This window comes from Homo sapiens, chromosome 9, assembly GCF_000001405.40.
Source record: "Homo sapiens chromosome 9, GRCh38.p14 Primary Assembly".
Classification (NCBI taxonomy): domain Eukaryota; kingdom Metazoa; phylum Chordata; class Mammalia; order Primates; family Hominidae; genus Homo; species Homo sapiens.
Window position 1 is genome coordinate 92,728,507 of NC_000009.12, and position 25,568 is coordinate 92,754,074.

Sequence of the window (25,568 nt, forward strand, 5' to 3'; positions counted from 1 at the left end):
TGTGGCAGCTGGGGCTACTGGCGGTGGTCTCCACCCCTAATTCTCAGACACGCACACCCTACCTCGAGTCTCCATGGAATATTTGGGGTTTGTGTTCTTATTACAGCTGGGCACAGTGCAGGCCCTGAGTGACACAAAACATTCCCAGGGCAGGGGGGAGTCCAATGACGAGGAGTGCCCCATGGGCATCAGCCCTTAGCCTCCACAAGGGGCTAACTGCACCCCTCCCTGACTGACCACTCCTCTGCTCTGGACTTGCTCATGGGACTCGCTTCATGAGTGAGACAGAAGCAAGCCAGAGGCAGTGGAACTTGTGGGTCCATCTCTCTCCCTTCTGCCACGTGGAGGACAGTGGCAGTGGAGTGCAGTGGAGGATGAGACCAGGAAAGCAAGACAGACCAGCCAGCTGCAGCGTCCCCAGAGGCCAGCCCAGCCCAGCCACCCACCAGGCACACCTGCTATGTGACACTGGTGGCACTGCTGCAGCCACAGACTAGGCCCCTCCTCACCCCCTCACCTCCTTCAGCTCCTGGGCCACAGAGGCCAGGCGCTCATTCTCCGACTGCGTGTTGGTGAGGACATTGCGCAACTGCTTCAGCTCCGTCTGCAGCTCTAGCACCTTCCGCACGTAGTACTGCTCCTTGGAGGCCGACTCCTGGATCAGGCTCTCCTCCCGGCTCTCTCCGTCAGCAGCCACCTTCTTGTGGTTTGTGTGTGCTTGTCCAAAGGCCTGCATCAGAAGACAAGACACTCGTGAGGTGGGCCTCCCAGGGGCGCCGAAGGATAGAGACCCAGCTCACAGGCGACATTCATGCTGCAGAACAACAGCAACAACAACGGGGACTGTGGGCCTGAAGGGAGGCCCCCTGACCTGGGAGGTGCATCTGTGGCGTGCACTGTGGTGTGCACATATGCAAATGCAACAAGCTGCACCCAAGGTTCATCTGCTTCACCAAAATAAGAGAAAGCCTGGTCTCTGAGGAACAGTGTCTGCACTGGCAAGACAAGTGCTGGAGTCAGGGAGCTACAGTGGGCATGTGTGACAGCAGCTGGGGGCCGGCAGAGGGAGCTCCCACACAGCCCCCACCTTCTCCCCACTCCAGATGGCACGCCGGCCACCACATATGAAAGGCAGAGGGAGTCTGTCCATCCTGCTGCCTGATGCTGGCTCATCCTTCACTCCTTCTGGGAGAGACCTGGGCTGAGCAGTCAGAGCCCCAGGCCCGAGGATGGCAGTGATGGTAAGAACTAGACAGAGGCCAGCACAGTGTACCACCCACTCTGCCCAGTTCCTGGCTCAGAAGCCAAGATACCAGCATGTTCCAGAGGGGTGAGGAACAAGGGGCGCGGGGGCTGCACGTGGCAAAGAAGTGCAGGGCCTTGGGGCTCAGGGAGGAGACCTTATGGGTGAGATCAACCAGAAAGGGGTGCTCACCTAGCCCAGGACGCCCACCTGCCCACGCACCTGAGAGTCGACAGCTGTGTCATGTCCATGCCCCAAAATCCAGGCCAGCCAGCCTCCCATCGTGTACACCCCAGGCGAGTGGCCCAGCCTCCAAGCAGGTGCCATCCCTCTCCTTCCCTCCCACTGCCCACTACCCCCACATAGCTGGCGTGGCAGGACAGGGCTTCCATGGGTAGAGGGCAGACGGGCCGCAGTGTGTCACCCCCAGCAGCCCGTCTCACTGGCCACTCCACCACAGAGCTCTTGCAGAAGACCTTATCTTTTTACATTAATCCTGGCTCATGGCAGAAAACAAGATCAAGAGAGAGGTGACTGAAAGCGGATGGCTTTGTTTTCCTAAAAGAGAAAAAGGAGCATTTTTCACTCATTTACTATTTAATATTAAATCTAAGAATTCAGTCCAAGAAAATAGGGAAAATGTAAAAAACCATGAATAAGGATGTTACTGAGCAGGACAGTTTCTAATTTCAAGAAATCAAAACAAAGAGTAACTCATTTCGTCCCAACAGGAGACTGGTAAAAGAAACCAGGGTCTAGTCTGAGTATAGACTCTCATGGGACCAACAGGGGACTCAAGGGGAAGACAGACTGATTGATCTTACAGCACTGTGAGGATCACAGGATCCTGCCTGGAAGAGCACACATGTGCTATGGCAGGTGTGGTGACATGTGCTGTGATGTATGTGTTGTGTGTGTGTGTCTCGTGGTGTTGCGGGGGACACCCCTAAACAAGGCTAACAGGACAACACAGCCCAGCAGGAAGACTGGTGCTGGCAATGGGACTGCACGGGGGGACTCGGGATTGACATGGACACTCCTGCTGCGGATGCACAGATGTCTATGGCACCCACACTCCTGAGGAGGCTGGGTCTTGCTCACCTGCCCCCACCCATCAACACAACACCCACTACGTGGAAGATGTCCGCTTTTCTTCAAGGCAATCGGGTCAGCTCTGTGATTTCTGCTCTGTTCTTCCTTATCCTAGTCCCAAGGAAGGTCCAAATCATAATGTCTACACAGCACCTCATCCACCCTGGCCAGCCACCCCGGGCCACAAGAAGGGAAACCGGACATGGAATTGGCCCCAGCTGCAGGCTCCCCACCCAAGTGGCAGCCAGGCCCCAAGTCCCTCATTGGGTGAAGGGCCCGCCGGCTGCAGGCGGCATGGGCAGCGCCAGACCATCTGGGCCTCCTGACAAGCAGGAGGGACCCAAATGAAGGGTCCAGCACACATGGCTGCTCAGAACACACCCACGAGCCTGGAGCTGGGGATGCAGACATCACCTCAGAAGCTTCCTCCAGGTATGACAGCTAAATGCCATGACACGACATTCAAGTCCTAGCCTCCTGGCCTGAGCCCTGGATCTTTTCCTCTGCTTAAGCTCCCAGCCTGGGGCCCAAAACACTCCTGGGCAGCTTTTCAAACACACTGAGATACAGACTTCCGCGTACAGCCAAGATGAGATTGTTGCAGAAATTAGAACTACCTTCTGTGTGAAAACTTAAAAAAAAAAAAGAAAAAGAAAAAAACCAGGCAATGATAGAATATAAATAAATAATAAGCAGTGGTTTTCACATCATGGGCACTAGATAGTGAGAGACAGGAGGAGGGGAGTTCCAGGAGCCCCCTCCACCAAAAGAACTTCCCAGCCATGGAAAAATGGGAGACTGAGGCAAGGCGTGGCAGACCCTGTCAAGGAGGGACTGGAAGATGGCGGAAGATGGCAGCAGGGCAGCCAAGCTAGGCAGACCTGCACACAGGGCCAGAATCTCCACTGAGGACCAGGGAGCACAGAGCTGAAGAAGTCACTGAAGGACCACTGAGGGGGCAGAGAAAGCAATCCCCACCATTTATACCAGCCAAAAACAGTACCTGCTCCCAACAGCAGAGGAGAGCCCTCCTGATGCACAGGCAGCTGGGGAGCACTCCCAGGGCCTGAAAAAATTAGTCTGGATTAAATCTGCTCTGATACCACAGAGCAAAGCATAAAGACAAAACCTGAAAGGATCAATCTGATTCCAAGTCACTTAACTACATCCCAGAACAAAGCTCAAGAACACATGAAGGAATACAAAAACATCCATCTCCCAACAGGTGAGGTCCACTGGCTGGCATCCCGTCACTTACCACTGAGCAGGCAAAGGCGCACAAATGAGGAAGACAGAAAAAGATCCAGATAGAACTTCTAGAGACGAAAAGTACAGTGGATGGGATTCACAGCAGATAAAACAATGCAGAAGAAAAGATCAGTCAACTTGAAAAACCACAGCAAACTATCCAAAATGAAACACAGAGAAAAAAAGGCTAAAAGACAAAAGCAAGACTCAAACAGAGCATTGGTGAAGTATGAAGTATGACACAATTTCAAGAAGCCTTATGTAAGGAGTAATTGGAGTACCCAAAGGAGAAAAAGGGGAAAATAGAAAAAGTAATTGAAGAAATAAATCATAGCTGAAAATTTTCCAAATTTGATGAAAATTATAAACCCACAGATATCAGCAGCTTGTCAACACCAAGCACAAGAAATATGAAGCAAACTACACCAAGGCATAATATAAAATTGTTTAAAACCAATTATATAATAAAAATATTTAAATCAGCCAGAAGAAAAAGGATACATGACTCAAGAGGAGCAAAGATAAATGACAGCTGATTTCTCTAACAAGCCAGGAGATAGTGGAACAACATCTTTTAAACAACAAAACAAAAAAACTTAACTAGAATGCTATACTCACTGAAAACTGTTCACAAATAGAGGTGAAATACTTTAGAGATACAAAAGCTGAAAGAATTTATCAACAGCAGATATGCATTGGTATTTAAAGATATGCTAAATAAAATCCTTCAGGCAGAAGAAAAATAATACCATATGGAAATCTTTATCTACATGGAAGAAATGATAATTAAATAGGCAAATATAAAGTACTTATTTTTCTTATTTAAATCTCTTTAAAAGATAATTAACTTGAAATTCAATGCAATCCCTACCAAAATTCCAAAGCCTTTTTAGCAGAAATGGAAAAGGTGATTTTCAAATTCATATGGAATTGCAAAGGGCCTAGAAGAGCTAAAACAATATTGAAAGGGAATAACAACGTGAGAGAACTCACAATTTCAAAACTTAATACAAAGCTACAGTGATCAAAACAATGTGGTACTAGTGTAAAGATAGATACAGAGACCAACGGGATAGAATAGAGTCCAGAAATAAAACCTCATATATATGGTCAATTGATTTTTGGCAAGGGTACAAAAATAATTTGATGTCAAAGAATAGTTTTTCGGCCAGGCACGGTGGCTCATGCTTGTAATCCCAGCACTTTGGAAGGTCGAGGCGGGCAGATCACGAGGTCAGGAGTTCGAGACCAGCCTGGCCAACATAGTGAAACCTCGTCTCTACTAAAAATAAAAAAAAATTAGCTGGGCGTGGTGGCGGGTGCCTGTAATCCCAGCTTCTTGGGAGGCTGAGGCAGGAGAATGGTTTGAACCCAGGAGGCAGAGGTTGCAGTGAACCGAGATCACGCCACTGTATTCCAACCTGGACGACAGAGGAAAAAAAAAAAAGTTTTTCAACAAATGATGCTGGGGCAAGTAGATACATATATGCAAAATAATGAAGCTGAACCCCTACCTCACATTATACACAAAAATTAACTCAAAATGAATCAAATACCTAAATATAAGAACTAAAACTATAAAACTTTCAGAAGATAGGCTGGGTGCGGTGGCTCATGCTTGTAATCCCAGCACTTCGGGAGGCCGAGGCGGGCAGATCACGAGGTCAGGAGATCGAGACCATCCTGGCTAACACAGTGAAACCCCGTCTCTACTAAAAATACAAAAAATTAGCCAGGCGTGGCGGCGGGCGCCCGTAGTCCCAGCTACTGGGGAGGCTGAGGCAGGAGAATGGCGTGAACCCGGGAGGCGGAGCTTGCAGTGAGCTGAGATCGTGCCACTGCACTCCAGCCTGGGCAACAGAGCAAGACTCCGTCTTAAAAAAAAAAAAGCTCAAACCAGAGTTCCCAAGTATCTGTCATCAGGAGAAAGATAAACAGTGACTATGTAACTATTTACATAATACTATATAGAAATGAAAAATGAATAAACTACTGCTATACAGATAACAGAGATGAATCTAACAATGTTGAGTGAAAAAAGCCACACACAAAAGAGTATATGTTGTGCGATTCTGTTTATATATAAACTTCCATGAATAAGTGAAGTTAATCTATGCTGTTAGAAGTTAGCATAGTTGGCAGCTGGGCACAGTGGCTCATGCCTGTAATCCCAGCAATGTGGGAGGCCAAGGCAAGCAGATCACTTGAGGCCAGGAGTTCGAGACCATCCTGGCCAACATGGTGAAAACCCGTCTCTACTAAAAATACAAAAATTAGCCAGGTGTGGTGGCATGCACCTGTAATTCCCAAGCTACTTGGGAGGCTGATGCACAAGAATCCTTTGAACCTGGGAAGCGGAGGTTCCAGTGAGTCATGATCGCACCACTGTACTCCAGCCTGGGTGATAGAGCTAGACCCTGTCTCAAAAAAAAAAAAAAAAAAGAGAGAAGACAAAATCCACCTCCCCCACCCCCAACCCAGGACAGCTGGAGTTACTCCCTCCTCCCCCTCCCACAGGCTGTTTGCCCCATCTTGTCTCCTCAGGAGGAAGCACTGGTCCAGGAGTGCAATTAAGCACTAAGAAGAGCACTGGAGTTCACCATCTGATTAAGGGGTCGCCAGCCGTGGGCTTGTCCTTGCAGCTTCCTTCCCCTGCCTCACTGTGGGCCTCCTAGGCTGGTGCCCTGCAGGGTATGATCCCCTGCCCACCCACAGGAGGGCTCTCTGCCCAACCTACCATCAGGATCCAGTCTGGGAAGGGGATCCCAGATGTGCCCTCCATCCCACCCGTGCCCACAACTTCTCCAGCTGCTCTGGGGAACAAAAGGGACACACAGGTGGAAGGCCCAAGTTCCTACCCTCCTGGCCCATAAGACTAGGCTCATCTGGGCTTTGAGGAGGAAGCAGCACCTTGGTGATAACCCCCAAGGGGCTGCCCTGGCTATGGGCGAACACTGTGCTTGACACAAGCTCCCGGCTCACTCTCTACCCACTGCTCTGAAGCTGCCTAGGCCCAGCAGGATCTAACACACTGGGTGAGCCTGGGTGTGAGGTCACCACCAGCCAGGCGCCTTGGGGAGAATCCTTGCTTTTGGCCAACACATGACCGCCAAGAATGCTGTCTTCAGGTTTGTCCACACCCATGTGACTATAGCACAATCATCTGTGCCTAAGGGGAGCCAGGACCAGACACCATTAGGGAGGCCAGGTCCTGCACAGTGGCATGGCCTCGGGACAGGCTGCAGGACAGACGCTGGGTCTATCAAAAGTGGGGATGGGCGGGGTAAGCTCTGGCCAGGAGGGAGAAATCACAGGGGCTCAGGGAAGGGATTTCAAAAACCACATGGGGTGGGAAGGCCAGCCTCATCTGAGGGAATAGCACGAGCAATGACATGGGGGCAGGAGGTCCCAGGGACTCTCTGTGAAGCATTAGGAGCCACCCTGAGGTCAGTGGGGAGTTTGAAGACAATGGAGAGGGCTTGGGGAGGAAGGGCAGCTGCAACCAGACCCCAGGGCTTTGTCAAGCAGAGGACGAAATGGGGAGTTGAGGGCAAGTCGGGGCAGGGAGGGGCAGGCCTGGGGGCCTGTGAAGCAAACAGCACCTGACCTCTGCGAGTGCCTCATCTCTGTTATCTCCCTGTCCTCATCCACGAGCATGGCAGAAACAGTAATGGCCTGCTGTTCACGGGCACACAGCACACTGGGTCTGGAGTCACTGGGACCTTGCTCACTCAGGCCCTAAGTCTCATTCTAAGAGTCCCATGGGGACAAGAGGCTGCCGGTCCCTGTCAGGGCAGTGCAGGCTCTGGGTGGCCCCTCTTCATTCACCGTAAGGGCTCAGGTGAACTGCCCACATCCAGACTCCATCCTTAAAGGACAGCAGCACCCATTAGCTGTGGAACTGATCATGTGACTCTGTCAGAGGCGTTTGAACCAGAACAACTCCATCTTGAATAGGGACTGGGTAAAATGAGGCTGAGATCTACTGGGCTACATTCCAGGAAGACAGGCATTCTTAGTCACAGGATGTGATAGGAGGTTGGCACAAGATACAGGTCATAAAGACATAAAACAGGCTGCAGTAATTACTGATAAAACACTAACTGCTGATAAAACAGGTTGCAGTAATTACTACAAACCCACCAAAACCCAACAAAACCAAGATGGCAAGGAGAGTGATCTCCGGTTGTCCTCACTGCTCATTATATGCTAATTATAATACATTAGCATGTTAAAAGACACTCCCATCAGGACCATGACAGTTTACAGATGCCATGGCCCTGTGATGGCCCCAGTTTACAGATGCCACAGCCCGAGGTACCCACTGTGTAATGTCTGGAAGTTACCTACATGGTCTAAAAAATGGGAGGGACCCTCAGCTCTGGGAACTGTACACCCCTTTCCCAGAAAACTTGTGAATAATCCATCCCTTGTTTAGCATATAATCAAGAAATAACTATAAGTATCCTTAAGCCAGCAGCTCAAGTCACTGTTCTGCCTATGGAGTAGCAATTCTTTATTCCTTTACTTTCTTAATAAACTTGCTTTCGCTTTACTCTATGGACTCGCCTTGAATTCTTTCTTGCGTGAGATTCAAGAACCCTCTCTTGGGATCTGGATCAGCACCACTTTCCAGTAATATCTTCAGCTGCCTCGAACTGAGCACACCCTGTGTGTTAGATTGTTTTAGCAGCTCCATGACCGGAGCCCTGAACATGTTCCCCCTTTACACACACACACAGAGAAACTGAGGCACAACAGAGCTCAATGCTTGCCAAGGGTGCACAGTCTGGCTGTAGCGTGGGATGGTGCAGGGCTGGAGACAGAAGGCTGGCAGAATAGGCCTCAGGATGGAAAACAGGGCAGTAAGGATCCTGTCCAACAGATGAGCCCAGTGCCCCACCCCACCCAAACCCCTAGGAGATAGAGAAGGCAGGCCAGGTCCCAGGGGTACCTGTGAGCACGGGCCCATCTGTGCCCACCACCCCCATCTCAGGGAAGCACAGCCAACATCCCCTGCTAGCACCTCTGAAATAAGCTGCAGGGGCAGGGCTATGTGACTGTGGTGGGCGCCAATCACAATGTGCCTCGATTTCCTCATGTGAAACCTGGGTTAATAATGTCACCAATCTGAGCTTAGTGCTATGGGGATTTAGTCAGTTAACATAATTCACTTACCAGAGCCTATGTGGCCTCCTACTCCACCCACCCCCTGACGATAGGAGCTTTAAAATACAGGTTCAGGGAGTTACTCCTTGTTCTCCTCTCCAGGCATCCCACTGCCTTTCGGATGCCCAAGAAGGAGGCAACTCCTCCAGAGTCAGCATATCTCTGACTCAGGATGTGGTTGAGGCTATTGTCAATGGACCAGTGTTAACATGCTGAGATCCTGACAACCCCAGTGTGGGGCAGCGCGTGGGAGACTGGGTGGCTTTAGAATGAGCCCATACCAGACGCTTAGGCCCTCATCACCCCAAATAGAGGCTGAGATCCAGAAACAGAAGCTGGACGATGAAGGAAGAGTAAAAGATTACGACCAACAACAGGTTACAGTTACCTTTGCGGTTTTCATTCTTTCCTGACGCCAGTACCAGCAAAGCTCCCAGTTATCACCTGGGCACACCCACCACCTTAGAACAACTCTTCAAGTGTTACTTTCTGTGAAAGTAAAACTATACATATAGGCTGGAAGGGCTGAAACCCTGACCTGTGCCTAGTGCAGAGGAGGAAACAGTGGCAGGTGATCAGAGCCTGGGAGGATGGGGAAGTGCGCCAGGTGGAAGGAACAGCAAAGCAAAAGGTAGGACAAGGTGGGGCCAGAAGGAGAACTAGGTCCTCACACCAGGGCCTCTGAACCCCTGGACAAGAATCTCTTTCCCTCCCTCCTCAGCCACATAGGCCTCCTGCTTCGCCGAGGTGCCCCACTGTGCAAGAGGCACCCACTGCCCTGCCCACTTCCCGGCGGCACAGCAGGAGAGCCAACGGGTATGTGCACACCTGAAGCCAGGCTGCCTGGGCCCACGTCCTGGCTCTGCCACTGGTCAGCTATGACTTGGTGAGCTCCGCCCTCACTGTGCCTGTCAATGGGGCTACGGGGCCAAGTTCCCATGGTTGGGCGTGTGTAAGCCCACCCTGATGCTTAGGCAGCATGGGCACCAGGTCAGGGTCATCCACAATCAGCCCATTTATGAGAAGTGGCAGGGCTTGAAGAGCAGCCCCAGGCCAGTGCCTGCACCCTCCCACCTGCTGCCACAAGATTGGTCCCTGATGGTCCCCCCAAGGCTAGGTGCTGGTTCCAAAGTGGCCTCACTGTCCTTCTGCATATGGAAGATGTCCTTACTCTGTAGCCAGCTAGTGGGGCTGCCTGGCTCTGTGGCAACTACCTAATTACAGTTTCCTCAGCTACAAAGGAAAGTCACCCCCCTCCCTCCCCACTCTCAAGAGAGAATGTGGATATCTCCACAATAAGAGCTGGCCATCAGCCCTAGCTAGTAGAGGTTGCCCCTTCAGTCTCCGGACAAACCTGTACAGGGAGTTGAAACAGGTCTGCACAGGAGACTGAGAACCAACCCCACTTGCCGACCTTCCACTGGGCTCTGGCTCCCTGGAGAAGGCCTACACCACCAGGGCAGGGGAACCAGGCCTCCAGGCAGGGCTGTCCCAGGGAATTCTCTTTCATCCTAAACCAGTTTGGCCATCTGATACAACAGGAACAACACTTGCCAAGCCAGGAGAGCCAGCCGCAGCATTCCAATGAGGCAGGACTTGTTCCAGGATGCAGTTTCCACAACAAAACTGGGAGCCTCAATTCCTTCATCTGCTAGGCTGATCCAGCACCACCCACTCATAGCCAGCTGGTCCCACACTTGTCCCTGAAGGGCCATGATGCCTGCCCCAGGGTGGGCCCAGCCTCCTGGGAACGGCGGGCCTGGGCATCCCAGGAATCCCACTAGTCCTAGCCTGGCTGCCTCGGTTGGGCCCTCCCACCACCTGCTAAGGTGGAGACACTGCTGGGCTCCTTGTCAGGGCTGGTCCAAGCAGGGGGAAGGTCTGATCCTCATCCACTCGACGGGCTGTGAATACCTTCTGCTCAGCACCCACCTTTCCACCCAGGCTTGTTGAAAAATCCCAGGGACTGGCTTTACCATCCCCTCAATGTTTACTAACAGCACTTATTAGCGCTTACTGCATGCCTGGTCTCTGGTAGGTACCAATGATACCAGGACAACAGACTATCAGGCCTCCCAAGACCCAAGTCCGAGGGCCTGTAGCCCAGACAGTCAGCTGAGACCACAAATCCTCCCATCCTGGGGAATCACAGGATGATAAAACTCACTTGATTACGGATTGTCAGTATCCCAGGCTCTCTATTCCCCACAACCACAGTGAGGAGCCCGTGAAGGCTCGGTCAACACTTTACTGTTTTGAAGCAGTATTCCTATCAGAAGTTCACACTTGGCAGGCAGGGAGGCAAAGCCTTTGGAGCAAGACCCGACCCCCGACCACGATTTTACTCCTTGAGAGGGGTAATAGGCAAAGAAATCTGCAGAGCCAGGAAACAGCAATTCAAGTCCAGCACCCACCTCCTTCACAATCATGCGGTCAGTAAACACTGATCAAATGGCAGACTTGCCCCCCCAAAACTGCCACAAGCCACAGGGTTTCAACACTTGATGGAGTCAAAGGGAAATCAGGTGTTTCCGAGGCCTTAAAAGGAGCTGGGGTGGTCTGCAGGACAGGAGAGGACCTGGAGGCCTCAGACACCTTGCTCCACTCCGGGAAGGTCTGCATGTGCTGTTCAGGGTCCTGCCCTGCATAGCCAGGACTCCGCAGGAGACCAAGTGGCATCAAGCCTTATTACAGTCACCAGGGTTCTCAGGCCTATTAAGCTGACATAAATACAAGCTCAACAATATTATTATGAGATAAAGAATTTACAGCATTATGACATTAAACTCACTCATAGGTTAATCAAACCTATCGTGACCCAAACAGCCTAGTACAAAATACATCAAAGTGTCAACCACGCAGAGAGAGAGATGGGGGGCTCTGCAATAGCCAGCAAATCAGAACTGGCAGAGACATGAAGTCTCCATACCAGGACTCAGGGCATAAGGAAATGATATCACAAGAGGATGCAGAATGACATCAGAGCAATCTAAAAAAGGAAGAAATTCCATTTATGTGTTGGTGTACCACGGAACAAAGTAAAAGACAGTATTTCACATAAGTTTTCTGTAAATCTGAAACTGTTCTAAAAAATATATGCTGTAAAAATGTTAGCATACACTCAAACATGTGAAAATTGAAAAATGATCTCTTAAATATATCTGTATTAGAGAAGGTATACAGAACAAAACAACGGGAAATCAAATAAACAAAAAATAGAAACAAATCATATCAAAACTTCAGGATCACGGCCAAAGCAGTACTGTGCTGGGGCGGGGAGGGGGGGCGTTGTGGTGGATTGCACTAAAAATAAATAATGATAAAAAGAAACAGTCTCTCTAGACGGGGATTGCAAAAACTGAATAAAGTAACAAGCAGAAGTCTCACAAAGGGGAAGTGATATAACAAAAACCCAGAAACAAAAGAAAAAACAAAGCAACCATGTTTGTGTATTTTTTTAACCAGCTAATGACTGTATTCAGGTTGGCAAGTCTGTGCAAAGTACATACCCCAAAACCAGGGAACTGAACACTTACCAACCTGTCCAGTCCCCACAGGCAACGTGAGGACTGAGCTACTGCATTGCTGGTTCCACCCCACAGCCATTGGCAAGATGGGCATCGGCACCAGCAGGCCTGCCTCACAGGAGAACTGACCCAGGGAGTGCATGCCCAGGAGGGAGTCTGGGTGCTGTGTAGCACAGCAGGTCTTGAGCTCAGGTCTCGGCCTAAAGTGTCCCTGTCCACAACCATATCCACTCAAACAAATAATGAGAAAGGAAAACAGAAAGACATGCCCTATCAGTTCCTGATGTATCTGTTGAACACTCCTGTTCAGTTTGCTGAGTTTGTAATGTCCTCTCTAAGGGAGAAGAAAAGACATTACAAACTCAACGGGAATGTTCAGCAGGTATGTCATGAACTTATCTGCTGGTTTCAACAGATCTTCCCTTCCAAAGGGCAGGGACTCATGGACCAACTCCACGCCCAACACAGATGCAAAAACCTGACAAAATCTCAGCAAACAGAAGTAACCATTTACCTTAAGAGTTATTCACTGTGATCAGAAGACCTTGCCCAGGAACATAAAACCAGGGTAAACCAATTCAATTTTTAAAATCTATATTCAGCATCTGCTATGAAACAAGATAAGCCAACAAGTAAGTAAACCATATAGATTGCCTGAGGCAAACTACCAATATTTCTGCCACAAACTAATATTTTTAAAGGAATTTAAAATGTCATCTATGCTAAGATGCTTTCACCATAATTTAGCCTGAACTCTTCTCAACTGAAGCACTTGAAAAGTGGATGTGGTAATTTTCTTTTTTTTCTTTATGTCATAAAAAGAGCATCAATAGAGTAAATCTTACCTGGATAGATTTAAAACAAAAGCAAACATAACAAATAATGGAATGCATTAATAAATAATGGAGAAGCATTGGTAAATGAAGATGCATTTGAGTTACCCACTCTCCCCTTAAAAGGAGAAGGCAGGACTACACTCTCACCACACTTAAAAGACATCAGAAGAGAAAAAAGCGTACTGCTAAATTCCTATTTTTTGCAGGTGATGATTTTGTCTAGAAAATGCACCAAGAAACATCCTCAAAAAGGTCAGAGATTTCAAATATACCAAGATACCCATAAAATCCTCCCAAATTAAACTGTTGAGTTATGAACACAAAAAAGAGCAATTACATTCATAATCTTGACCTAAAAAATTAACCCCCAGATATTAACTTAACTAGAAACATAAGATTTATCCAAAGAAAATTATAAAAATACTAATGAGAAAATTATAAAAATACTAATGAGAAAGACAGAATGTAAGTTGGAAGGTAAGATTCCTTGAGTTGTCATGTAGATTCATGTGATATGGGTACCACAGCTACAGACCTGGAAGGAAGCTGCCTCAAATCTTCTGGGGATTACTTCAGAATAATAGTGAAATTTATCTCAAAGATTTAGCAAGCAAAAAGACTCTCCTGCTTACCTCCACCAAAAAATGTTAAAAAGACATAATCCACGTCATAATATTCACCCTTTTAAAGTGTACCATTCAGTGGTTTTTAGTACATTCACAGAGTTGGGTGAACATCACCATTAATTCCACATTTCTTTTTTTTTTTTTTCTTTTTTTTTGAGATGGAGTCTCGCTCTGTTGCCCAGCCTGGAGTGCAGTGGCGCGATCTTGGCTCACTGCAAGCTCCACCTCCCAGGTTCACGATATTCTCCTGCCTCGGCCTCCCGAGTAGCTGGGACTACAGGCACCTGCCACCATGCCTGGCTAATTTTTTGTATGTTTAGTAGAGATGGGGTTTCACCATGTTGGCCAGGATGGTCCGATCTCCTGACCTCGTGATCCGCCCACCTCGACCTCCCAAAGTGCTGGGATTACAGGCGTGAGCCACTGTGCCCGGCCTAATTCCACATTTCTATCACCCCCCCCAAAGAAACTCTGTCCCCATTAGCAGTCACTCTTCAGCTCTCCCCACTGCCATCCTGAAAACCAATCTATTTTCCATCTCTATGAATGTGTCTATTCTGGACATTTCAGTCTTTTGTGACTGGCCTCTTCACTAAGCATAATGTTTTCAAGGTTCGCCCATGTTGTAGTATGTATAAGAATTCCCTTCCCTTTCATGGTCAAATAATATTCCATTGTATGAACAGATCACATTTGTTTATCCATTCATCATTTGACAGACACTTGGGTTGTTTCCACTTTTAGGCTATTATAAGTGGAACTGCTAGGTCATGTGGTATCTTCAACTTTTTTTGAGGAACTGCCAAATTTTCCACAAGGGCTATCCCATTTTATATGTTCCCACTTGCAACATAGGAGGATTCCAATTTTCCCACTCCTCTCCAGGACTTCTTATTGTCTATTTTTTGGTTACAGCCATCCCAGTGGATATGAGATCTCTTCCCATTTTCTTTCTTTTTTTGGAAGACAGGGTCTCACTCTGTCACCCAGACTGGAGTGTAGTGGTGAGATCACAGCTCCCTTCAGCCTTAACCTCCTGGGCCCAAGCAATCCTCCTGCCTCAGCCTCCTGAGTGGCTGGGACTACAGGCACGTGCCACCATGCCAGCTTTTTTTTTTTTTTTTTTTTTTAAGAGATGGGGTCTCACTATGTTGCCCATGCTAGTCTTGAACTCCTGGGCTCAAGTGAGCCCCCACTTTGGCCTCCAAAAGTGCTGGGATTATACGCACAAGATACCGTGTTCAGCCTCTTTCCATTTTATTTAAAAAAGTATTAGTAACAATAATAGCCACCACTCTATAAGTCTCCTTAAGTATATTATTTCACTTAACGCCTATCTCAAAGTTCTCAGGAGAACCCATGTTCCCATTTTATGGAGGAAGAAACTAAGGCTCCAAAAGGCCAAAATTGTGACAGGGCAGAAGCACAGATGGAAGAGAGCCATCTCTGCCTGCTCCATGCTGGGTCCTTCTGCTGCATCGCTGGGTCAGAACTACTGCCTGATGGCAAAGGGCTCCATATCCTGAATATATAAAGATCTCCTACACGTACATGAGAAAAAGACAGACACCCAAGAAGAACATTGGAAGAAGGTCTTGAAAAGGCTCTTTATAAAAGAGGCTCTCCAAGTGGCCAGTAAACACAGGAAAAGGTCCATGGGGAATGCAACTTACACCAGAAAGAGCTACTGTGACATACTGATCAGAATGGCTAGTACATAAATCAGTAACACATCAAGTGCCCGTGGTGAGGATGGAGAGGACAGGAGCTCGCCACACACTGCTGTGCTCCTCTAGAAGAAAGCCTGCCCTATGTCACCCTAGCCAGTCCATCCAACAGACACAGGCAACAGCCACCCCATGAGCGTTCTAACAGCTCCAAGCTGAAAACAACCCCAGGGTCGGTCTACCTGACAGTGGGTGAGGAAGGCGTGGTATATCCACACAAATGAATCCCATGTGGCAACGAGTGCCAATAACCTACAAATACAAGCAGCAATGAGGACCAGTCTCACGATGCTGAGTGAACACACAAAAAAAGTACGGTGCAACTCCATCTATAAGAAGTCAAAACCAGGCAAGATATAATCTTTGGTGTCAAAAGCCAGAATGATCACACCTTGACAGGGCTCAGAGAGCAGCTCTGGGAAGCTGACTACATGCAACTTCTTGATCTGTTGGTAGTTACATGGGTGTACTTACTTTGATAATTTATCAAACTATACAATTATGATTTTTATAGTTTCCATATTTACCTTACACTCCAGTAAAAGCTTATTTTTATTAAAAACTAGTGTAATATGAAAACTATTGGGCCAGGCGTGGTGGCTCAAGCCTGTAATCCCAGCACTTTGGGAGGCCGAGGCGGGCGGATCATGAGGTCAAGAGATGAAGACCATCCTGGCTAACATGGTGAAACCCCTCCTCTACTAAAAATACAAAAAATTAGCCAGGTGTGGTGGCACGCGCCTGTAGACCCAGCTACTCAGGAGGCTGAGGCAGGAGAATCACTTGAACCCAGGAGGTGGAGGTAGCAGTGAGCCAAGATTGTGTCACTGCACTCCAGCCTGGATGACAGAGCGAGACTCCGTCTCAGAAAAAAAAAAGAAAAAAAAGGAAAAGCTGCAGAATAGCAAATGTACCCAAGGGATGACATATTTGCCAACATACACACATGCACTTAAAATCTATACATTTTACTATATGTAATTCTAGTTTAAAAGATTAATAAAACCCCAAACCAAACATATCACAGGGAGTTAAATTGCTTGTTATTCATAAAATGGATAATATCAGAAACAAGATGAAAGATCAAATTTTCATAAATGAACTTCAGCAAAAACCTGATATAAGAACACAGGGTCAGGTCAGGAAATGGTGGCAAGAAATGGACTTCAGATTTACACAGGGCCAGATGCTTCAGATCACCCCACAAACAGATGTACAGCCTTGCTAGCAATTCAGGAAAACAACTTACAGTAGCTACAAACACCAGCAGAAACAGAGTCGCAGGGCACACTGGGATGGGGGATGGGAGGGTTCCAGGGCCAGGAGGGAGGTATAGTTGGGAGATGGATGTGAGATGAGCTGGAACCTCTGCCTACTGTTCAGCCCAGTAATGACCCAGATCCAAGAACGGTGTAGAGGCAGTGCGGTGAGGGGAGAAGGGGATCCACCTAACTAAGGGTGGGGACAGGGGAGGGGGGTCCCCTGTCCTGAGGCATCTTCACTGGGCCTGCTCTGTCCAGATGATCCCTCTCCACCCCCAGGTTTTCCCAGCCTTGGGCTGCCGTCAGCACCCCTCCAGCTTTGATGTGGGCCCAGAGGGAGGAAGACAGAGGACAACACAGCTGTTAACAGATAAGCAAGAAGACTCTGGGTGCCCAGGGGAGGGAGGGCAATTACCCCAAGGCATCGCTGCACTTCACAGTTTGCACCAATGTAAGCTCATTAGCTTCTCTCACAGGAGGTATTAGCTCCTCTCACAGGTGAGAAACTGAACTCCGAGAACACACATCTCCATAAACGTTTCCCCAAGAGGGTCTGAAGAGAAAGCAAGAAAGAGAGGCTGATGATCCAGAAGTGGCTGGGCCTGGGCCTAGACCCTGGCCCACAGTGCTCAATTGTCTGACCAGTGCCCCAACCACGCCTGCTCCTCAAAATCACCTGGAGAACTGCAAACTCCCATTCCCAGGTGCATGAACATCTGGGACTCGGCCCTTCCTGGTCTTGGCCTGGAACCTAGAAAGCTTGGACTCAATGTGGGGACTGCCTAACAACTGAGATCTGGCTAAAGCCAGTCATGGTGGTCCCTGGGCCCCACTTCCCACAATTTATGGAGATCATTTCCCTCCTGACACATGGTCCCTCCCTCCCTAGAAGGTTACCTGTGGTGGCAAAGCACGAGTGAAAGGACTGGCCCTCCTGCTCGGACATGTTGATATGTGAATACAGTGGGGAGAGGGGCTTGCTGCAGGCACCACCCAAGAAAGATGGAAGCATTGGCCGGGCATGGTGGCTCACGCCTGTAATCCCAGCACTTTGGGAGGCTGAGGCAGGCAGATCACCTGAGGTCAGGAGTTCAAGACCAGCCTGGCCAACATGGCGAAATCCTGTCTCTACTAAACAATAAAAAATTAGCTGGGCATGGTGGCAGGGGCCTGTAATCTCAACTACTTGGGAGGCTGAGGCAAGAAAAATTGCTTGAACCCGGGAGCAGAGGTTGCAGTGAGCCAAGATCACACCACTGCACTCCAGCCTGGGCGACAGAGTGAGACTCCGTCTCCAAAAAAAAAAAAAAAAAGAAAGAAACATGGAAGCACATGCCACATGTCCACGCCAAGTATGGTACATTCACAATGCCCAGCACCCAACAACAGGTGGACGGCAGTAACTCTAGTATGATGACACAGTGGATGATGCTCAGCAGCAAGAAAACTCACTCCTCATACAAGTAACCGTCGTGATGGCTCTTAGAGAAGCCAGACCCAAAAGACCACACACCAAGTATGAAGAAACCTAATCACTGTAGAAGGCAGGCAGTACGCTGCTGGGTGGACAGGAAGAGTCTGAGCACTTCAGGGTAACCTTCACCATGGGGCAGCCACACGAGAGCACACAACTGCACAACTGCGTGTGGTCTTACAGGCAAATCATACCTCAATTTAAAAATGAGAGCTGCACAAAACAATCAACTAGTCAGCAGCCAGAGCTGCTCCGGAAATGTCTGACTGTTGAGGTCAAAGGCCGCCCTAAAAAATGCAGCCTGGACTGAAATGGGGCTCAGCTCTGTCTCACAGTGAACCACACCAATATGGAAGGTGGGTGGCAGAGGTCTCCCAGCAGCTTCTAGGGAAAGGCCACCAAACTGGTGGCCCACCAAGCTCCCACACAGACCTTCTGGATGACTTCCCTGGTGGGTCCCCAGTAGGCCAAATCTCAGAGCCAGTATGTCACCGGGGGCCAAGAGGGTAAATGGACCTGTCCACCATCTGCACCATCAACAACAGCAGCCACAGGCCTGACCCCCTCTTAGGTGCTGACCCTTGCCATCTCGGCCTAGTGCGAGAGGCTGGGCAGCTCTGTGGAGAAGCACTTTGCCCAGGCCCCTGGCTACACTGGGAAGCAGGTCTGCATGCTGGTATGCTTTCTTCCAAAGTCCCCGCCAGGCTCCTGGGTGAGGTCCTGACCTGCATCTCTTTCATCGCCACAAGTGTAGGCAACAGCTCCAGGGATATGGCTCAGGACAGGGGGGTCACCAGGGAGTCAGTAGGGAGGGCCAGACTCACCGGGCAGGATGGAAAAGTCCAGCAGCTGTCCCAGGACAGCAGAATTCCCTCCAGCCTAACATTACCCTCACTTCAGCCAGCACCCCCATCACTTTAGCTCACTGATGCTGAGAAATAGCTCAGGCAGAAGGCAGGGCCGACCATCCAGATATACACACAGTGTGGGTGGGGCAAGGCCTCTCACACGGGAAGGGTTCAGGCCTGTCCTTGTGGGCAGATGGACGCCCACGTCCACCACACATCTGCACCTCCTTGGTGAGTGCAGGAACGGAGTGAGGAGCCCAAGCCCAGCAAGTGGCAAGGCTCAGGAAGCATCTGTGGCATGAATGGAAGACAGACAGGGGGAACCTATGCACACAGCTGGGAGGTGACAGGCCCCACACCCGAAGTGGGCTGACAGCATGGCAGGTCAAGGGCATAGCCAGATGCTGGGGTGCTGAGAGTGCAGAATATGAATATGGCTGCATATGTATGAATATGTATGCCATATGTATGAATACGGCTGAGTGAGGCTAGGACTGCAGGGAACTCCAGGGGTACAGGGTGGGCAGGCATTGCAGGTTCTTTTGGGACATCTCCTCTTTCATCCCTCTCTCTCCAGCCAGTGGAGGGGACACACCCCCGTGACTCAGCAGCAGGAATGGCTCCCAGGCTTGCCCCTGTCCTGGGTCTTCCCCTTAGCTCATGCACACTCCAGAGAGGTACAGAGAGGCATCCCAGGTTCTCCACTTGGGGGGTTGTACCCCTCTCCAGGGCTGAATCACGCACGATGTGCACAGCAGGGAGGATTCAAACCCCCGGGTGTAAACTGCAATGACAGGATAGTGCTCCCACACTCATCTTTCCCCTGGGATCATTCTGGAAGTGTAAACACTCCTGAGACTGATTTAATAGGTCTGAGTGTGGCCCCTGAGCTTTAGAATTTTTGAAAGTCCCCCAGTGACCCTGGGGTACAAGCAGACTAGTCAGCTCCACATGCTTCTACTGGAACCCAAGTCAGCTAAGAAGCCAGAAATAGACCTGTTGACTACCTGGGCCCCTCACAGACACAATGACCCACCCAGTGGGATCCCATGGGTGTTATATGGGAGACCCTACCTCACCATCCCCTCAGCCAGCTCTTCCCATCCATCCCCAGCTGGGTGGGGATGCTCCAGCATCACTAAACCAACTCCCTCCTCTCTTTATTCAAAAGGTACTTCCTAAGCAGATACAGGCAACAAAGGATGTGGGGTCCAGGGCCCCCAGGAGCGGACAGAGGTGGGTGTGAATCATGTGTCTTCACACAAGCCCTGCAAAGTAAAAACTTTTATTGTTCCCTTTCATGGGTGAACAAACTGAGGATCAACAAGGTGAGATGATTCATCTGAGTGGGACCATAAGGCTTCTCACTCCAAAATCCATTTTTCTTCTTTGCAGCAGGGTGGTTCCCAGAGGAGATGGTACAGGGAGGGGCAAGGGGGTAACAGGAGAGGGGGCAGGAGGTGGAGTTGGTCCCTGAGGAACTCAGACAGCCTCACCTGGCAGGTAGACAGGGAGGAGGGAGGAGGCCCAGGAGCACTCAAGCAGGAGCCTGGGAAGGCTGCAGGAGTCCCTGCAAGACAGGGTGGGGCCTCTTGAGGACTGGGGTCCAGGCCAGGAAAAGAGGGTGGGGCCTCCTGGGAACTGGGGTCCAGGCCAGGAGGCAGCGCCCGCCCACCTCTGCCAGCCTATATCTATCAAGCTGTACGCTGCAGGACCAGCCCAGGCCCAAGCCCCTCTGCAGGCCCATCTGTCCCTCACACCACAGGAGGCTGAGGGGCACTGGCCCACCCTTCCTACTGGGTGGCTTTGGAACTGCATTTCCCCAAGGAGGACTTACACTTGTGGATGCGGGGATCGCTAGGACTCAGGGCTGAGAGGCACCCACACAGGGAACACTGTAGGGCTGTGGTGCTTGTCACCAGCCTCTGCCCACCCATGGCCCCTCCTCTGTGAGGCCCACATCAATCGGAAGCAGCCATCCCATCACCAACCGTGAACCCCAGCTGCCCTGGGCAACGTCCAAATGCTAAGCTGCTTTTAGAAAACTGGGAATTCATCCCTGGGCAGGAGGGATTTAGCCAGAATTGGGTGCCATTTAGAGAAGATTACACCCTAATTGCCCCAGTGTCAGCAGACAGGCTTCTGGCCAGCTGCACCCAGGGCTGGCAAAGGTCCCCACAGACCCTAGCTACCCCGCCCAAGACACAGAAGCCAGTCCTGGGGCCTGGGGACCAGCCCTCATCTTCCATGGCAGCTGGCTGCCCTGACACAAATCTCCATTCAACAGCTTGTAGTCAGGGCAAGAGGGGACAGCTTGGGGGCCCTGCCACGCAGCTGTCCAGACGGCATCTGTTCCAAACGAGGGGAGGATGGCACAGTGGGCACAGCAGTCTGGGCCAGGCTGGGCTGAAAGCCACAGGAGAGCATGGCTGCAGCCCGGGTTTTCTCCTGACTTCATCTCAAACCCTCATCACACTTCTTCACCTTATTAGCACTGTTTTAGAAAGAGACACCAGTAAGGTTCACAGTCAGCAAGTGGCAGGAGAATCTTACGCCATCTCCTCGCAATCCCCAGAGTTCTTCCCACCACAGGATGAACTATGAGGGTGGAGCCTGAGGAGAGGGAACTCTTGTTCAATGCTGGCGGAAATACAAAATGGTATTCGCATTTGGAAGAGTCTGGCAGTTTCTCACAAAGCTAAATACAGTCTTATCATACAATCCAGCGATCAGACTCTTCAGGTAATTACCCAAATGGTAATTACCTGCACTAGAACTTGTACGTGAATGTTTAAAGCAGCTTTATTCATATTTGCCAAAAAGTAGAAGCAACTAAGATGTCTTTCAATAGGTGAACAGATAAATTGTGGTTCACCCATATTATTGTGATTTAAGAAAAAAAAAAAGAGCAATCAAGCCATGAAAAAACATGGATAAATCTTAAGTGCATATTGCTAAGTGAAAGAAGCCAGTCTGAAAAGGGCTACATACTGTATGATTCCAATTATGTGACATTCTGGAAAAGGCAAAACCGTAATGATGGTAAAAAGATCAGTGGTTGCCAGAGGTTGACGGGGGTGGATTTAAACAGGTGAAGCATAGGGTTTTTTTTTTAAGGCAGTGAAACTATTCTGTATGATCCTGTAATGGTAGATAAATGCCACTGCATTTATAAAAACAAAAAGTGAACCTTAATATTAGTATGTGAATTGTTTTAAAAATTCATTTGGGAGATCAAGGGATCCTGGGCTGGAATGTAGAATGTGACAAAATAATCTAATTGTATTACAAATGTATCAAACAACCTCACTGAAGGGGATGGGGGAATAAAGTACTAACTTAAGTAACTTTTTCTTTTTATTTGTTTTTTTTGAGATAGAGTCGCTCTGTTGCCCAGGCTGGAGTGCAGTGGCGAGATCTCAGCTCACTGCAACCTCTGCCTCTTGGGTTCAAGCAATTCTCCTGCCTCAGCCTCCCAAGAAGGTGGGACTACAGGCACACACCACCAAGCCTGGCTAATTTTTGTATTTTTAGTAGAGATGAGGTTTCACCATGTTGGCCAGGGTGGTTGGTTTTTTGTTGTTGTTGTTGTTGTTGTTGTTGTTGTTTTGAGACAGAGTCTTACTCTGTCCCCCAGGTTGGAATGCAGTGGTACAATCTCGGCTCACTGCAACCTCGGCTTCCTGGGTTCAAGTGATTCTCCTGCCTCAGTCTTCCAAGTAGCTGGGACTGCAGACACCTGGGACCACGCCCGGCTAATTTTTGCATTTTTAGTAGAGACGGGTTTTCGTCATGTTGGCCAGGCTGGCTCCTGACCTCAGGTGATCTATCCTCCTTGGCCTCCCAAAGTGCTAGGATTACAGGTGTGAGCCACTGAGCCCAGCCCTAACTTAAGTAACTTTGGAAATAAGTAGAGTCTATAAGACTAAAGGCAAAAGAATTACACAAAAGCACTGTAACTCTAGTTGATAAAATTGTTTCCCATGGGGACCCAGGTTAACAATTCTGTTACTGCTGTACATGTGAACTGGAATGAAACAATTAAGTTACTGGATGGTGGATGGTGGGAGCCAGGTGTCTCACTGTTGGAGTGGGAGGTTACAGATAAGCAAGGGAAGGTGGTAAGAACGATCTACGTGGTAATGGATTACAGTTCTTACATCAGTATGAACTCATGGTTAACTAAATATACATACAGGTGTATTTATTGACATATGTATATACATGGGTTAGTATACACTAACTGCATTTTTTTTTTTTTTTGAGATGGAGTTTTGCTCCTGTCGCCCAGGCTGGAGTGTAATGATGCGATCTTGGCACACTGCAACCTCCGCCTCCTGGGTTCAAGTAATTCTCCTGCCTCAGCCTCCTGGGTAGCTGGGATTACAGGCGCCCACCACCACGAACAGCTAATTTTTGTATTTTTAGTAGAGACGAGGTTTCCCCATGTTGGCCAGGCTGGTCTCGAACTCCTAACCTCACGTGATCCACCCGCCTCGGCCTCCCAAAGTGCTGGGATTACAGGCATGAGCCACTGCGCCCAGCCACTAACTAACTGCATGTTCAAAACAATCTCCTTGTTCTGTTGCTGACAGGCCTTAAATCAAAGACACCCTAATAGCAATGAGCACACATAGCAACCAGATCTTGGTTTCTAACATCTTTCTCAACTAAAGAAACCAGGGCTTCTTGGGGTAAATAGCTGATTCTAGGACTGAGGGAGGAAACAGATAAGCCTGCAACATCTTGTAGTGCCAGAAAGGAAGGAAGCACTTTAAAAAAAAAAAAAGAGGCACCATGATGTGGTATGTTAAAGGGGGTATAAGAGCCATCTGAAAGAGCTCTCAAGAGCCAAAGCTGGAGCAATTTGAGCAACAAAATGAGGTAATGTTGGATTATAACCCAAAGTATAAAATAAACTTTCATGGGCTGGGCACAGTGGCTCATGCCTGGAATCCCAGCACTTTAGAAGGCCAAGATAGGAGAAGTACATAAGCCAAGGAATTAAAGACGAGCCTGGGCAACATAATGAGACCATGTACCTACTAAAAAAATCAAAAAATTAGCTAGGGGTGGTGGCACATGCTACTGGGGAGACTGAGGTGGAAAGATCACTTGAGCCCAGGAGGTCAAAGTTGCAGTGAGTCACGATCACACCACTCCACTCCAGCCTGGGCGACAGAGTGAGACCCTGTCCCAAATAAAATAAATAAAATGAACTTTCATGAGTCTACATTGATATAATAAACAAGAGTGGGAGGGAGGGAAAAGTCTGCCATGCAGAAAAATCGCAAATAATTTATGTAGATAGCACCCTGCCCTCAAAGAGGTGGAGCAAACTCCCTACTCAAGTATGGGTTATGCACAGTAATTTCCTTCCCGAGAATACAGTATGGACAGGAAGAGAAAGAATAACTTTAGAGTGGCGGTCAGGTGATCAAGGTCAACAGCAGCAGTGACAGGTCATGCTGACAATACACACTCTTGATATGTGATGAGAAGGGCATTTACTTCTGTGATCTTCCTCCCCCAAACCCATAATCCCAATCTAACCACGAGAAAAAACATCAGACAAATTCCAAGTGAAAAACATTCTACTAAACACCTGATCAATCTTCTTGAAAACTGTCAAGGTCATCAAGAACAGGGAAGGTCTGAGAAACTGTCACAGTCAACTGGAGCCTAAGGAGACACAACAACTAAATGTAATGTGATATCCTAGACAATACTTGGGACAGAAAAAGGACATCAGGTAAAAACTAAGGCAATCTGAATAAAGTATTCATAATAATGCCATGATATTGGTTCATCCATTGTAACAAATATACCACACTAATGTACAATGTTATAATAAGGAGGCAGCTGGGTGTGGGGTATACAGCAACTCTGTACTATTTTTCAAATTTTTCTATAAATCTAAAAATTTTCTAAAGTAGTTCATTTTTTAAAATTAATGATAAAAGGGCAGCACAGTTTTTTATTTTATTTTATTTTTTTTGAGACGGAGTCTTGCTCTGTCGCCCAGGCTGGAGTGCAGTGGCGCAATCTCAGCTCACCACAAGCTCCGCCTTCCGGGTTCACATCATTCTCCTGCCTCAGCCTCCTGAGTAGCTGGGACTACAGGCACCCGCCACCAAGGCCGGCTAATTTTTTTGTATTTTTAGTAGAGATGGGGTTTCACCGTGTTAGCCAGGATGGTCTCGATCTCCTGACCTCATGATCCGCCTGCCTCGTCCTCCCAAAGTGCTGGGATTACAGGCGTGAGCCACCGTGCCCGGCCGGTAGCACAGTTTTATACACGTTCAATGGCTTAAAGACACATAAGTCTGTAATTCCAGCACCTTGGGAGGCTGAGACAGGCGGATCACGAGGTCAGGAGATCAAGACCATCCCAGCTAACACCGTGAAACCCCGTCACTACTAAAAATACAAAAAAATTAGCCGGGCATGGTGGCGGGTGCCTGTAGTCGGAGCTACTCGGGAGGCTGAGGCAGGAGAATGGCGTGAACCCGGGAG

The 25,568-nt window shown here is 48.9% G+C and overlaps 1 protein-coding gene across 3 annotated transcripts in view, besides 7 other annotated features; it reads right to left on the bottom strand.

Moving 5' to 3' along the window:
• BICD2 (BICD cargo adaptor 2) overlaps window positions 1-25,568 on the bottom strand; it is a 53,471-nt gene that overhangs the window by 17,144 nt on the left and 10,759 nt on the right. For all 3 annotated transcript variants that reach the window (NM_015250.4, NM_001003800.2, XM_017014551.2), the window contains exon 2: window positions 518-730. In NM_015250.4, the coding sequence (NP_056065.1) occupies window positions 518-730 (213 nt within the window). The remainder of the gene's footprint in view (window positions 1-517; window positions 731-25,568) is intronic.
• Window positions 83-922: an enhancer, noted in NCBI's record as "H3K4me1 hESC enhancer chr9:95490871-95491710 (GRCh37/hg19 assembly coordinates)". NCBI's record gives its function as "activates a minimal SCP1, AML or CMV promoter by ChIP-STARR-seq in naive H9 embryonic stem cells {active_cell/tissue: H9 hESC(naive)}" and the evidence as "EXISTENCE:reporter gene assay evidence [ECO:0000049][PMID:30033119]".
• Window positions 592-831: an enhancer, noted in NCBI's record as "active region_28600". NCBI's record gives its function as "activates an Ori minimal core promoter by ATAC-STARR-seq in GM12878 lymphoblastoid cells {active_cell/tissue: GM12878}" and the evidence as "EXISTENCE:reporter gene assay evidence [ECO:0000049][PMID:35858748]".
• Window positions 6,242-6,841: an enhancer, noted in NCBI's record as "H3K4me1 hESC enhancer chr9:95497030-95497629 (GRCh37/hg19 assembly coordinates)". NCBI's record gives its function as "activates a minimal SCP1, AML or CMV promoter by ChIP-STARR-seq in naive H9 embryonic stem cells {active_cell/tissue: H9 hESC(naive)}" and the evidence as "EXISTENCE:reporter gene assay evidence [ECO:0000049][PMID:30033119]".
• Window positions 12,432-12,511: an enhancer, noted in NCBI's record as "active region_28601". NCBI's record gives its function as "activates an Ori minimal core promoter by ATAC-STARR-seq in GM12878 lymphoblastoid cells {active_cell/tissue: GM12878}" and the evidence as "EXISTENCE:reporter gene assay evidence [ECO:0000049][PMID:35858748]".
• Window positions 18,961-19,712: an enhancer, noted in NCBI's record as "H3K4me1 hESC enhancer chr9:95509749-95510500 (GRCh37/hg19 assembly coordinates)". NCBI's record gives its function as "activates a minimal SCP1, AML or CMV promoter by ChIP-STARR-seq in naive H9 embryonic stem cells {active_cell/tissue: H9 hESC(naive)}" and the evidence as "EXISTENCE:reporter gene assay evidence [ECO:0000049][PMID:30033119]".
• Window positions 20,464-21,146: an enhancer, noted in NCBI's record as "H3K27ac-H3K4me1 hESC enhancer chr9:95511252-95511934 (GRCh37/hg19 assembly coordinates)". NCBI's record gives its function as "activates a minimal SCP1, AML or CMV promoter by ChIP-STARR-seq in primed H9 embryonic stem cells {active_cell/tissue: H9 hESC(primed)}" and the evidence as "EXISTENCE:reporter gene assay evidence [ECO:0000049][PMID:30033119]".
• Window positions 24,504-24,553: an enhancer, noted in NCBI's record as "active region_28602". NCBI's record gives its function as "activates an Ori minimal core promoter by ATAC-STARR-seq in GM12878 lymphoblastoid cells {active_cell/tissue: GM12878}" and the evidence as "EXISTENCE:reporter gene assay evidence [ECO:0000049][PMID:35858748]".